We start from the raw sequence: 14,621 nt of genomic DNA on the forward strand, positions 1-14,621 counted from the left end.
CTGAATTTGACATTTGGCCAGAAGTTAAATTTCTTTAGCATTAGCTAGAAATCCAAACGTGGAACAAAACAAACAAACAAAAAGAAACATGAGACAAAGCTTTCTGAGGGCAAAAACATGCCATGTGCACCACTACATCCTCATCACTAACGCAGTTCAGAGAAGGCACTTAATATCTGTTGAATAAAATCAACCTACTGAATGAACACTCCACCCTTTTGTGGTCATGGTTCACTCAAAGTCAAGACTGCCACACTGGTATTTGCATGCAAGTATTCCCACAACGACTTTTGCTCAGCAGTTCATCTTTTTAAAATGTTATTCTGTTGATTTTTCTTAAAACAAACAAAAGAAAAGGCACACCACAGAAATTTGAAATCCAAATGTATTTGCTTTCAAGTTCCATTCCAGGTAACAAATATTTGACCAATGAACTGATGTCTTTAGTTTGGCAATTGGGCAAGCAAACTCTGCCTCTTTCCATAGTTGAGTGCAGCACTGAGGTGAGTACCAATTGTTCCTTTACTGACTTGTAGAATAGGATAAAGTTGTTAAGTCCCCAAAAAAGTATTAACATTTTATCCTCATTGCCAATCAACAAATCACCCAAATTTCCCGCTTTCCACCACCCCAAAACCCAAGTAAAAGGGGAATAAATTAGCCCTTGTGGAACTCAAACTTACAAGAATCAGAGGCAATCATTGGCAAACTAAATTCTTGGTTTTCCACCTTCCTTTTCAACATTTCCCCTGTATGCCTAAGAATGCAAGAGTGTAGATTTTTAAAGCAAGCTCACTAGCAAGTCAGCTAATGTCAGGATTAAAGATAAAAATAAGTTGGAATTTTTCAAACCCAGGAGGTTTGCTGCCTGTGAACTGGAACAGCTTATAATAAGAAAGGAGATGCAATAGGATGGGGAGAGGACTCCCAGCCCCACATCTCTCCTTGTGTGAAAAGCTGGTGCTTGTTCGAGGTAGGGCAACCAGGCCCAGCATACAAGAGGGATGACTGATCCCTCAAATACACTACACAGTGTGGCTGCCAGGAGTGCTTCACCTTAGGCCTCACAAACCAATGACATGTTCTCAGCCATATTTCAAAATATATATACATTCTTTATGCCAGGGGAATAGGGAACTCTGCTCTGGAAGGAAGCAAACACCTGTGAAACATGTTTTCAGTCTGAAACCGTATCTTTCTTCATAGGACCTGACATAAAGTAATTTAACCTGCAATATTATATATACAACTTTGGAAGGAGGAGTGGTGTTTTACAGGTTGAGTTAGTCAACTCCTAACTAATAGTACCCCTGAGCTTTAAGGAAGGGAAACCCTTTCTTAATGATTTCCAGTTCTTCATATTCTTGTTCTCGTTTAAAAAAAAAAAAAAAAAGGCCAGGCGCAGTGGCTCACGCCTGTAATCCCAGCACTTTGGGAAGCCAAGGCAGGTGGATCATCTGAGGTCAGGAGTTTGAGACCAGCCTGGCCAACATGGTGAAACCCCATCTCTACTAAAAATACAAAATTAGCCAGGCATAGTGGTGCACACCTGTAGTCCCAGCTACCCGGAAGACTGAGACACAAGAATCGCTCAAGCCCGGGAGGCAGAGGTTGCAGTGAGATCGCATCATTGCACTCCAGCCTGGGTAAAAAGAGTGAAACTCCATCTCAAAAATAAAAATATATATATATATATATAAAATATATATATTCCATATGTATTTTATATATATAATATATATATTCCATATATATTATATATATAAAAATATATATAATATACATATTCCATATATATTATATATGGAAGGGTATTTGTTTTAGGTTTCCCTTTCTTTTACAGAAACCTGAAATATCCAGGCATCATATGATTCACTGACAATATCTGAAACCCATCGAGATTTCACCAGTATACTTGGTAGTTTGTGCAGGAATGTGCTCCAATCTGTGCAAACCCACCCTTGTTCCATTGTTTTTCCTATCATTGCTATTCAAAGTCCTATGTTGTGGAAAAGACAGAGGAGGAAATCACATAACTTTTTATGAACATATATATAGACATAAATACAATCTGTGGGTGAGGTGACAAATAGTAGTAGGGGGTCCAGTCTGCATACATAGTGAGAAAATAAAATAAATGTATCCCCCCCAACCCCATCCTTTAATGTGCAGGATTCTGCTCCAAAGTTCCAAGTGACCAGCTAAAGCAATGAGGTACACAAGAACAATATTCCCAGCTGACTCATCCAAGCATCTTCGTGTGGAACTTGAGGATGGAGCTGCAAAGTGCCCTGGACAGAGGTCAGTGTCTAGGAGAACCCATTGATCATATACCAATGAGGCCTTTGAACAGAAGGAGATGTGAGGCTCAGAAGGCGTGTCCCAAGGAGACGCTGATGTAATCAACATCACGTTGATCAATCTATGTTATCACAGAGTTCCTGGCAGGCAGGGCAAGCACTGGGATCTTCTTGCTCCTCCCTTTTTATAGTTGCATATCATCTTCTGGGGAATTTCTACCCGTCTCCCTTGCTGGAGGCTCCTCAGCTGATTCTATTTTTATCTCAAGTCCAAAGGTGGAATTTATCCTTTCAGGGGAATAGTCATTTCTTTTTAAATCTGCAAGGAGGACAAGTAAAAAGGTTATAGTGGAACCCCAAGAACCTACTGTTCATGAAGACAAATGGGACTTTAGGCTTTGCCAAGTGTTCAGAGAGATCTCCTCTTCCTCAGACCATAGATATGTGGAACTCAAACCCTCAACCATGTCTAGATTAAGCCTCCTTTCCCACCCCAATACCCCCCTTCCTTCCCTATGCTGTTTGGGTGCTGTTTATGGGAGCAGGGAAGAAAGACTTGGTTGCTTGCTTCAATACACAGTGCCCTATAAGGCATAATCTGGCCAGAGTTAAGTAAGACCAAATGGGAAATGGGGCATTTTACTACTGAATGACAGGCAGAGGCAGAGAGGTCAGCCAAGAAGGCTGACTCCTCATCTCAGTGGTCAGTTTTCTGTGACAAAAGCTCCACCTCAGGTTTGGTACAGCCAATAAAAGCTCCATCCAGTTATCAGATCCTATGCTTCCTAAGCCCTCCTTCCATTTGAAAAGAAAAAAGTTAAAAGAAAATATTAATAGGCATAACCTTTGTAAGACATGTACGGAGGAAAATGGAGTTAAAATGTTTGTGACCTTTTTGTGCTGTACTTATTGTATTTGCTAGCCTAGAACATGTATTTCTTATTTTTTTAATGTTAAATGAGGATTATGTGGAAATAAAACTAATACATATTATATATTAATAATAAAACAATCAACATTTATTGAACATGTAAATTGATATGGTTTGGCTGTGTCCCCACCCCAAATTTCATCTTGAATTGTAACTCCCACAATTCCCACGTGTCATGGGGGGAATCCAGTGGGAGGTGACTGAATTATGGGGGTGGATCTTTCTTGCACTGTTCTTGTGATAGTGAATGAGTCTCACAAGATCTGATAGTTTTAAAAACGAGAGTTTCCCTACACAAGCTCTCTCTTTGCCTGCTGCCATCCAGGTAAGACGTGACTTGCTCCTCCTTGCCTTCTGCCATGATTGTGAGGCCTCCCCAGCCATGTGGAACTGTAAGCTCATTAAACCTCTTTTTTAAATAAATTGCCCAGTCTCAGGTATTTTCTTTATCAGCAGCATGAAAACAGACTAATACATATACTACCTAATTCAATCTTCACACAAACTTTATGAAACAGGTGCTATTATGCCTGGTTTACAGACAAGGAAACTGAAGCCCAAGGTCATATAGCTGGTAAAAAGCAGAATTAAAATGTTTGAGTTCAGCCTCTCTGGCTACAGAGCCTATGCCCTTTATACTATCCTAAACTGCCTCTCATATAAAAAAATATGAAGGGAAACGTAGTCAAACAAAAATGAAAAATCACCTCTAATCCTATTTTCCAGACAAAACTCTTTTTTTATTTAGATTACCAAATGTCTGAATAAACAAGGATATTTCTTATTTCCACTTAAATGTTGGTCAAAAACTAAGGTTTTGAAAGAAAACATGAATTAGGACTAGATGTGGTGGAATTATTGAATTACTCAAAACCTACCAGTGTATCACACCTGTAATCCCAGCACTTTGGGAGACCAAGGCAGGTGGATAACCTGAGGTCAAGAGTTCGAGACCAGGCTGGCCGATGTGGTGAAACCCTATCTCTACTAAAAATACAAAAATTAGCTGGGCGTGGTGGCGGGCGCCTGTAATCCCAGCTATTAGGGAGGCTGAGGCAGGAGAATCACTTGAACCCGGGAGACGGAGGTTGCAGTGAGCCGAGATTGCCCCACTACACTCCAGCCTGGATGACAAGAGCAAAACTCTGTCTCAAAAAAACAAACAAATAAACAAAAAACACCTACCAGTGTAGTATAAAAAAATTATCTCAACCTTAATCATACAGGACCACTAACTGAGCTCAAGGATTGGAAGTAGTGAGTTCTGTCTCAAGTCTCCCTGTGTCCTGGCTCCTTAGATGTAGTACTTGTGTCTTCAAGAATGCAGGCTGCCCTTCCAGGGTAGGAATGAATCAGACCTGGGAAAAGGACAGTATCGGAGGATGTTGAGTGAATGAGCCGGACTCCAGCCTGCCATCATGGAATGACTCTGATCGTTGTCAGCTCCTGCCTTCCAGAGGGCCCTTACCTGGAGGTCCTGATGACTCACAGTCCAGTCCCAGCCCCTTCCTGAGCTCCTTTTGACCAGAGAAGCCAGTGGGCAGCTTGGCTGTGCACTAATCTCTTTGCTCACATCAGGTATGTGATTTGTGAGAGTGAGTCCTGGCCAGTTGTGAGAGTTATGGCCCTCTGCTCTCTGACTGCTGCATTTTGATCTCCCCACCCCTGGCTGACCACTATATTCCCAGTGGAACTGGAAGCCTGCTCCAACTCTGTCTTTCTATGCCTTCACCACAAGAGCTCCCCCTACCTCTAACTCCAACCTGTAATCCCAGCACTTTGGGGAGGCCGAGGTGGGTGGATCATGAGGTCAGGAGATCAAGACCATCCTGGCCAACATGGTGAAACCCTGTCTCTACAAAAAATACAAAAAATTAGCTGGGCATGGTGGTGAGCACTTGTAATCCCAGCTACTCAGGAGGCTGAGGCAGGAGAATCGCTTGAACCCGGTAGGCGGAGGTTGTAGTGAGCTGAAATTGCGCCACTGTGCTCCAGCCTGGGCGACAGAGTGAGACTCCGTCTCAAAAAAAAAAAAAAAAAAAAAAAGAAATCTCCTTCGTTTGTTATAAGTTTACACCTGTCCCATCCCAGGTTACGATGGATGGTGCTCTTTTACTGACTTCAAATTCGGGGTATGATCATTTATTATAAGGCAAGAAGAGCTACTCAGCTTAAGATACGTGAAATCCCACTGTAAGGACAAGTCCGGTGTGACCAAAAGTAGTGGGCAAGCTGAGGCACACATGATGCTTCCCTTCTGGGACAAAAGAAAGGAATGAAACAGAGCCAGGACTGCCCATTTGGAGGGCACAGGCCTCCAGCTGCTTGCTTTTATAGTAGGAATTTTTAAGTATGTCATATTATCAAATCAGATTTAAAAAAATATATGTTGCAATGTGTGTTCAAAGTAGCAGATTTTTACAGTGAAAAGCACTACTTTAATTGAGGGTGTCATTTCCCTCCATACCACACCCTCCCAAGTACCCAATGGCGAAATTAGAATAGAATAGAAATGCGGTGGCCAACACCCTGTGGCCATCCGCAGCTGGCAGGACCCAAATGTGGGGGGTGGGGCGGGGGCAAAGACCAGCCTCGGTCAGATTTCATCCCATTTAAGTCGGTGGAACTTTTCTTTTGGAGTGACTGTGACAAGTATTGGGCCCCAAGTTGTTTTATCACATTTTGGCAGAACCTAAAGTAAATCCCTGTCCTTTTAATCCCTTTAGAGACTTGAAAATTTTGCAGTCAGAGAGTCAGGCTCTGCGAATGACGGTGAATGAGATAAAAATGTGATTACGATTTTCTACTTTATCCCAGGTTACAAAGGATGTTGTTCTATGAGAGATTTACTTAGAGAAAAAAGAACTGTTAGTGGCATACCCGGGAGTTTGAGCTTCCGGCAGCAGGAGTTACAATGATGTTTTGCAATGAAGTTTCTAATTGCATCTTCCCCCAAATTGGCCGGTCCAAACACCATTCCTCTTGATCTAGAGGAAATATCAGAATATCAATTAGATCACAGCTAAGAAAAAGGAGCTCAACTAGGATTCTCCGAGATACCGAACAGTATCCCATAGTAACCCAGTAAACTTGAAGGAGCCAACAAAAAACAGAGCACTTTGGGGAAACAACAATGTTAGGTTTGCAAATTTAAAATTCAAATGCACTTAAATCTTTGCTCCCAACTCCAAGACCTACTGTGAAACGCATTTCAACGGCATTTCAACGCTAATCTGATAGAAGAGTGAATTTTCTATGTACCACATTAAAACAAAATACAGCGAAATCCTTTTTAATGCATATGGGGTGAAAGAGTGACATTCATTACCAAATGTTCTACTAGAATACCCCAAAGGTAAGATATAAAGTAAAATACATTTGCTTTTGGGACACGCCTTCTAAAACGATGCATAGACATTGTTTCAAACCCAAATACTTTTCTGAAAATAACCGTCCTCAAAAACAAATTCCTGACTAAACCCTAGATCCTTACTCATGGCTCTTTCAAAGCCACTTGCTCTCCTGCAAACTGCTAGAGCTGGGCTTTTTGTGGAAAGACAAGACTATGACACAATGTGTTGGTGGAAGTAAAGTACATATGCTCGATGTAGGTGACAGAGTTACAAATAGAATCAGTATATATAAGGCACCTTTTGAATACTCTATAATCATAACAAATCCCTAGCAGATTCTAAGATCAGTGTTCATCCGTTATCATATCAAAGGCGACCATCATTCTTTGGATTTTGACACTGCACACCACAGAGCAGAGCACACCAGAAACATTTCCCAAGAAACTTTATGAAAGCTAATATTTTATTTTAATGACATGCAGAGTGGAAACAGCACATTTTAAAATCTGAACTCAATTACCGCTCTTAAATACCACGTCTTAAGAAAAAAGAAAAGCAAACTATCACAAAAGGAAACAATAAACTTCGCTTCTAAGGAATGCGGTTTTTCAAAAGGGACGTGGTGTAAAAATGGACTTTTTTCCATCCAAGGATTGAAACATTTATCTCAATTTCCACTTCCTTTTGGCAGAATAACAGTAGCTGCTCTGAAGATGTGCCAAGCTCAGAATGAGGGCTGATGTCAGTTTGATCTCAGATTGCCTCTTTGCTCCGAGGCGAGTAGGTGGAGGAAATCTCTTGGGAAGACAAAGTGAACAGACACACAGGATTAACTTTCCTGGTCACTCAATCGCTCTTACAGAGTACAGCTCTGGGGGTATTTACCCGGCTGCCTAAGCTGCCTCTTGTTAACTATTCCTCTCTCTTTGTGTCCATCTGGTAAGGAACCACTTCAATAAGGTGAAACTGAAGGTGGCAAAAAAAGTCGAAGCACTCAGCATTTAGACCAGGATTCTACGATGCCAATAAAGTGAAACACAGTGTTTATTTTAGTCGTTTAAATTGAAGAATGCCTTTTCATAGTCTCTCCAACATGACCCTGTTAGACTATTTCACTCATTTGCTTTCCATACCTGCCATTTCTTCCTCCCAGTAAAACATAAAAACCCCCAACTTAGAGATGCAACACTGAATCTCAGATAAAACCTGTAAGTTAAATGATTTCCCTCTATGAGCTTTGGGAAAGTTAAGACAAAAGAATCAAAATTAATACCAAATGCATATAGCAGGAGTTCGACCACTCCCAGTGTAGGGGAGAATGAAGGAGAGTTGTAAGGAAATTCATTTGCATCTACCCGCTACAGCACGCCTAGAGCCTTGCAGTCTTAGATAACCAGGTTTTAAAAAAAATACAAGTAGCTGTTTTCCAGATTTTTCACAACACAGGAAAAGCAGGTGGTAGCTTGGTTCCACATGCGAGGAAACGCTAATTAGTGCCATCTATACATAGATCTACTAAAGAACATCTCATCATCGTTTCATACTTGTCAAATGCCCAAAACTATCAAAGCAGCAAGCTAAAAAACTGTAATCCCAAATGACCAATAACCAAGGCAGAAGGTTAGGGAAAGTTAAGAGACAGTAAGCATTAGAAACAATATGAGAATTTATACCACAAGAATATCTTCTCTTTTGGTAGAGGGTTATCCTTTCATTGACCCCTTCTCCTCATAGGAACGTTACCATCTTCACTGAGCCTAAGTTTTCTCATTTTTGAACTGGGATTGAAAATGCTTCCTTTCATTGTTGTTGCAAAGGCTAAAATAAATAACCCGTGAAAGCACTTGCTTAAATCAGTGCTTCCCAAACTTTAATTTACACCGGATCACCTGAGGATCTTGTGGAAATTCAGATTTTGGTTCAGTATTTCTGGGGAGGGTCCTGAGATTTTGCATGTCTAACCATCTTCCCGGTGATGCTGACCTTGTTGGTCCACGTCCCATGCTTCGTGTAGCAAGTGCTTCAGACACGTAAGGCATTCGAAATGTGAGCCCCATTGAACTAATCAGACGTAATTCCCCATGATCATGGGAAAATAGTGCTTCTTGTTATCTTGACCATGAAGGCCAACTGCATCCAAAATTGGGTAACCCCACAAAACCAGGAAGGCCACAATGAAACCATCCTATCAGTTTCCAGAGTTCCTATCCTTAAGTCATAAGAAAATAAAGTTGCCCTAAGACAGAGTTTCTCAACCCTGGTTGCCCATAGAATCACATGAGAAACTTTAAAAAAATACAGATATCAGGGCCCTATCTTCAGAGATTCCAATTTGATGCCAATCCTTGGCTTTTGTTTTTAAGTTCCCTAGGTGACTTTAATAGAAATTGAGGCCCACTGGCCTACAGCATGCAATTAAATACCTACCTGTCAAGTGGGATAATATAATCTTAGAATTCTAAATGATAGAATATTCAGGTCATATTAAGTGACATATGCCAAGGTCAAAATTTAATAAATGATAGATGGGGTATACATAAACTTGGTTCATTATATATGCAAAAAATTTCCACTGCAAAATTATAAAGTACTTTTAGTACAAGATTCCTACTACTAACCCTTAGGCACACAGGACTACTGAAGAAATAATATTCTTAGCTAAAAACACTTTAGCAGAGCTAAAGTGAAACATAATAAAGTCTTTATGTATATAAGAGTGGTAACACGGTCTCCACAGTCAAATAAATATCATAGGAATTAGATGTGTATGTTCAATATGGATCACCTTTATTTTCTCTAGTTCACCTAGTCCAATTAAATATCTAATACACTTTTAGATGGGCCTCTTTGCATAGAAGCCTACATGTTTAGATTAAATCACTCAGTAAAATAACACAGCACTAAAGCAGTGAATATTTATGAGTTCTTGGGGAGGGAAAGTAAAAATTTCAGATTTTATTGATTGCCCACTTATGTAGTTATACATATAATATATATAATATATATAATATATATATAAAACTACCACCCAGGGGTCAAGTATAGACAATTATGACAATTAAGAAGTAAAAATGTATGCTGGCAGTTCTCAAGAGTGGTCTCTGGACCAGCAGCATCATAATTCCCTGGGAACTTGTAAGAAATGCAGATTATTTGGCCCTACCCCAAACCTACTGAAGCAGAAACTCTGGGAGTGGGGCCCAGCAATCTGTGTTTTAACAGGCTCTCCTGGTGATTGTGATGTAAGCTCTTATTTGAGAACCATTTTTGCCAGCCATATTGATCAGTGTTTAACCCTCACTATCACTTCTTTCTACCCCACCTTTAATAGAAGAATACAACCTGAGATCCTTTACTGCCAAGTCTTCCCAAAAACCTGCTTCTGGGATAAAATATCCATGGGAATTCAAGGGGCAGGTTGATGAGTCATCTCTCTATAGAATTTAAACTTCAGCTCTTATTTAAGTCAGATAATCTGATGCTTCATATTTAAGCTCCATTGTTTTGTCCTCTCATAAGATTTGCTGTTACTAAATAGCACACTTTATGCCCCTAGCTTTCATTTTATAAGCATATGATGGAAGATGCTGCCCATGATAAGATGCAATGACTCCATTGTGAAGACAAAAAAGGAAACTGTGCTTCTCCTATGACACTGCTCTCATATCAAAGCCACAGAGGCTAAACTTACACATTGGGAACTCAGTCAAATTTGCATTAGTCCTTATAATTTCCATTTATGTGTATAAATCTAACTGCAGATTTAATATCATTTTACATATTTCCATATTTTCCCCCCATTTCCTAACCTATGCTTTTTTATAATCTTATTGTTTTTGGTCTATATACATAAGCTACCTAAAAACCTTTCTAGGATCTAGGCAGGGAACATATATGTTTGTAAATTATTTTTAAAACCATTTACTATATGTTAAATGCAATTTTCTAAATGATAACACATAAATTAACTTACTGTTTGACTTCAGGTTTTATAACAGATGGATCTGTCAAATTTTCTCCAACACCTCAAAAGAAGAAACAAAATTCGTTTAGCAAATGGAGATTTCATTTTCTTAGAAATTCAAGAAAATAATAATTAAATTCTAATTTCTTAATTTAAAACTCACAGTCACTCTGTAGTAAATTAAACATCATGAGCCCATACTTCACCACTAAGCAATACTGGCAAGTAAAAAATCTGGCTGGGCGCGGTGGCTCACGCCTGTAATCCCAGCTCTTTGGGGGGTGGAGGTGGGCAGATGACCTGAGATTAAGAGTTCGAGACCAGCCTGGCCAACACGGTGAAATCCCATCTCTACTAAAAATGCAAAAATTAGCCGGGTTTGGTGGTGCATGCCTGTAATCTCAGCTACTCGGGAGGCTGAGGCAGAAGAATCGTTTGAACCATTGAATCGTTGAGGCAGAGGTTGCAGTGAGCCGAGATCACGCCACTGCATTCAAGCCTGGGCAACAGAGCTTAACTCTATCTCAAAGAAAAAAAAAAAGCACGTAAAAAAAATCTGTACTTGTACCCCCAAATATATGAAGATACATAAAAACTAAATATAAAAAATTAAATATTTTAATTCTCAAAAATTCATGTAAATTAAATGCACTATAAAAATTGTTCAGAAATGTTTGAAAATTTTAGTTAATGCACTGTTTCCCACAAACCCTCTGTTATAATAAACTTCTAGGCCTCAAATGATTGTTTTAGTGGTGTGTTCACAGTTACTGATAGTGGCATCTGTCATTCATTTACCACTTGTATATAGCAGATATTCTAATTTTATTTTCTGTAATTCTCAGCAATTATAAAAGAAAAGTGTTATCCTCGTAGCCTCGTTTTACATTTTATCCTCATTTACATCAATGAGTACACTGATGTTCAAACCAATTATGTCATCTGTCAGAGTTTGCACAGTCCATACATGGTCAAAACAGGATTAATGCTGAGCCAAAGTTTGTGTTCCTACTAGCTGGACTACAGGCATGTGCCACCATGCCCGGCTAATTTTGCACTTTTAGTAGAGACCAGGTTTCTCCATGTTGGTCAGGCTGGTCTCCATCTCCCGACCTTAGATGATCTGCCCACCTCAGCCTCCCAAAGTGCTGGGATTACAGGCGTGAGCCACCATGCCCGGCCACATACTTATACTTTCATTCTACTTATAAACAGTAGAATAGAAACCACCAAATTCTTGATCTGGGTGATGGTTACACCTGTGTATTCAGTTGTGAAAATTCTTTGAGATGTATGCTTATGGTATGTGAATTTTCTAAACGTATATAAGTCTTCAATAAAATTTACCTTTGAAAAAAAGATGACACTAAAGCCTAAAAAGGTAACATAGGTGCAATGTAAAGCTAAAATTTATCAAAACAGGAATCAGCACCTAAAGTGAATCTCTTATAAAATACAAGTGGTGAGGAGGCTGATTTCCACTGATGGAAATGTTCCAGGCCAGCCAGTAAGATTTGGGCACAATCCAGCGATTTCTGAGATCATTCTCTAATCAACCATGCTTCTGTTTGCTTGAAAGCAACTAACCTTGTGGGAAGATTATTTTAAAATTATATAAAATTTGTAAATTTTAGTGTATTTCTACTTGTTGAGAAAACTCATGTTTTCTAGCTGGTATGTTTTAAAAAGATTTTTGCTATCGTCTGTAGGTTTTACAATATGCTAAACCTTTCATAAGAAAATGTAATCCTTATAGACTTTCACCCTATGAAACTGACTTCCTTAGAAAAATAACCTAGAGCTTGAAATTGGGTGACCTGGATACCTCCCTTAATCTCTTTGAACCTCAGTTTTATCATCTGAAATTGTGAATAATAATGGGCCTAATCTTACAGGGTTACTGGGAGGATTAAATTAACTACTGGACACAAACTGCTTAGCAAAGTGTCTGCCCCCTAGGAAGCTGAAAAAATGTTCAGTTACTTGTATTATTTTTCTCCTATCAAGAACTTCTTGTGAAGTGAAATTTTATTTCCTTATCACTAGTAAAATCATGTTTCTGATTGATTATCTCATTTCCCTAAAGTGCTATGCTCCCTAAGGAACAGAACTCCTTATAAGAATGAGGGTAAAGAGTATCCACAAAACTTTATACCCCTAAACCCAATCTGACAATCCAAAGATTAACTAATAAATACATATTTTGGGGCACACAAATGGCAGAAGGACCTTTCAGTGTGTGAAAATAGAGAATAGGCCAGGCACGGTGGCTCACACCTATAATCCCAGCACTTTGGGAGGCCGAGGTAGGCGGATCTCTTGAGCCCAGGAGTTTGAGACTGGCCTGGCCAACATGGTGAAACCCCATCACTATCACTACAAACAAATACAAAAATTAGCCAGGTGTGGTGGCGTGTGCCTGTGGTCCCAGTTAACTCGGGAAGCTGAGGTAGGAGGATCGTTAGAGCCCAGGAGGTTGAGGCTGCAGTGAGCCATGACTGCCACTGCATTCCAGCCAGCCTTGGCTACACAGTGAGACCTTGTCTCAAAAAAAAAAACAAAAAAGGAAGAATTGGAGAGGAGAGGAGAGCAGAGGAGAGGGAAAAGAAAAGAAGAGGAGAAAAGAGCAGCCCCAAGTACCAATCTGACTTCAAGAGAGTAAATGCTCATGTCAGGTAATATGCAGCAACCCTTTATGAGGAACTCAAGATTGACATTCTGATCCCAACCATCATTGAGTACATCAATGAACTTGTACATTGGTGGAAAGAAGCTACCAATTTATGTAGCTTGGTGGAAATTTTTTTATGTAGTAGCAGAATTGATGATGATGATGATGTCGATGCCAATGCTGACATTCTGGAATCTGCTTTGTTGAATAAAAAAATTAATATCTCTAAAAATTAATATTAATATCTCCAAATTAATGTTGAAAAATACAATGAGCTAAAAAAATGCTATAAACCACTGTAATTTGAAATACAATTGTTTTTAATTCCTGTTGCTGGGAACTAAAGGTTGGATTTTAATGATGATGATTCAGGCCCTCACATGTAGGATTTTTTAAGTGGAAAGAGAGCAAAAAACTTCAGCATAATTACAAGTGATTGGAAATTGGTCAGGTCTCTCCTTAGAGTACAGTTTCTGACCTGGTGTGGCAGCTTCTGGGGTTAGTTATTGGCACTCCCTTGGAAGAAAGCAAAGAGAAGAAGAAAAGAAACTGAAAGAATAAACTGCTCGAGTATTTCACACTCCTTCTTTCTCTCAAAGCGGTAGGGAACCACAGCACACTGAGCAGGGCCTTCTTCTATAGAAGCTGAAGCTGCAGTCTCTCTGCAGCACCAACAGGACCACACAGCTGAGGGCGGACTCCCTGCAACTGCAGATTAACCTCCATATTAAAGAGTCACACAGAGATTAATGCTTACAGCAACAATTACTAACATTTACTGAAGGCGGTGTATCAGGAACTTGTCTCAATTCTTGCCCTTAACAACTCTATGGCTTAAGTGCCTAATACTATTTTCCCCATTTACAAATGAGGGAAGTGGGACTCAAGGTGGTTGCTCCTCCGTGTTATGCAGCTAATTCACAGTGGAACCAGAAGTCAGACTCCGGCATTGCAACTCCAGAGCTCCTCCTCCTAACTGCTGCTGGTGAGCCTCTGTCTCCACTTCCACCACCCAGACAATGTGCATTATCTCTCCAAAGACTAGAAATACAAATAAATTAAATACAATATAAAACTGAACTAAAACCATTAAGAGATTTTAAAAATACATTCTATTTTCCCTTTCCAACATGGTTTGGATTAAATATAATAATGCACGTAAACCTTTAGCCAAGTGCCTGGCACAAACGTAGTAAATGTTAGCTAGTAGTAGTGGTGTAACTGTTCATAATTACTATTATAGGATTCACATTCTTCCATACATCCAGGTCTAACCAATTGGCCAAAACTCTCTGATAAATATCTCAAATTTCATAACATTCATTCTATGATGTCCACTCTTTCCTTCTTTGAAGGTCAATGTTTTGACATCGTTTATTTGGAGCGGCCTATTTCTGCAATT

General features: G+C 39.6%; 1 protein-coding gene across 3 annotated transcripts in view; it reads right to left on the reverse strand.

The window, feature by feature from the left end:
• The window catches only part of TRPM6 (transient receptor potential cation channel subfamily M member 6), a 165,427-nt gene continuing 151,173 nt past the window's right edge, over positions 368-14,621 (reverse strand). For all 3 annotated transcript variants that reach the window (NM_017662.5, NM_001177310.2, NM_001177311.2), the window contains exons 37-39: positions 10,558-10,609; positions 6,112-6,218; positions 368-2,619 (exon numbers count right to left, since the gene is read on the reverse strand). In NM_017662.5, the coding sequence (NP_060132.3) occupies positions 2,486-2,619; positions 6,112-6,218; positions 10,558-10,609 (293 nt within the window). In that variant the 3' untranslated portion in view covers positions 368-2,485. The remainder of the gene's footprint in view (positions 2,620-6,111; positions 6,219-10,557; positions 10,610-14,621) is intronic.

Source organism: Homo sapiens, chromosome 9 (assembly GCF_000001405.40).
Source record: "Homo sapiens chromosome 9, GRCh38.p14 Primary Assembly".
Lineage (NCBI taxonomy): Eukaryota > Metazoa > Chordata > Mammalia > Primates > Hominidae > Homo > Homo sapiens.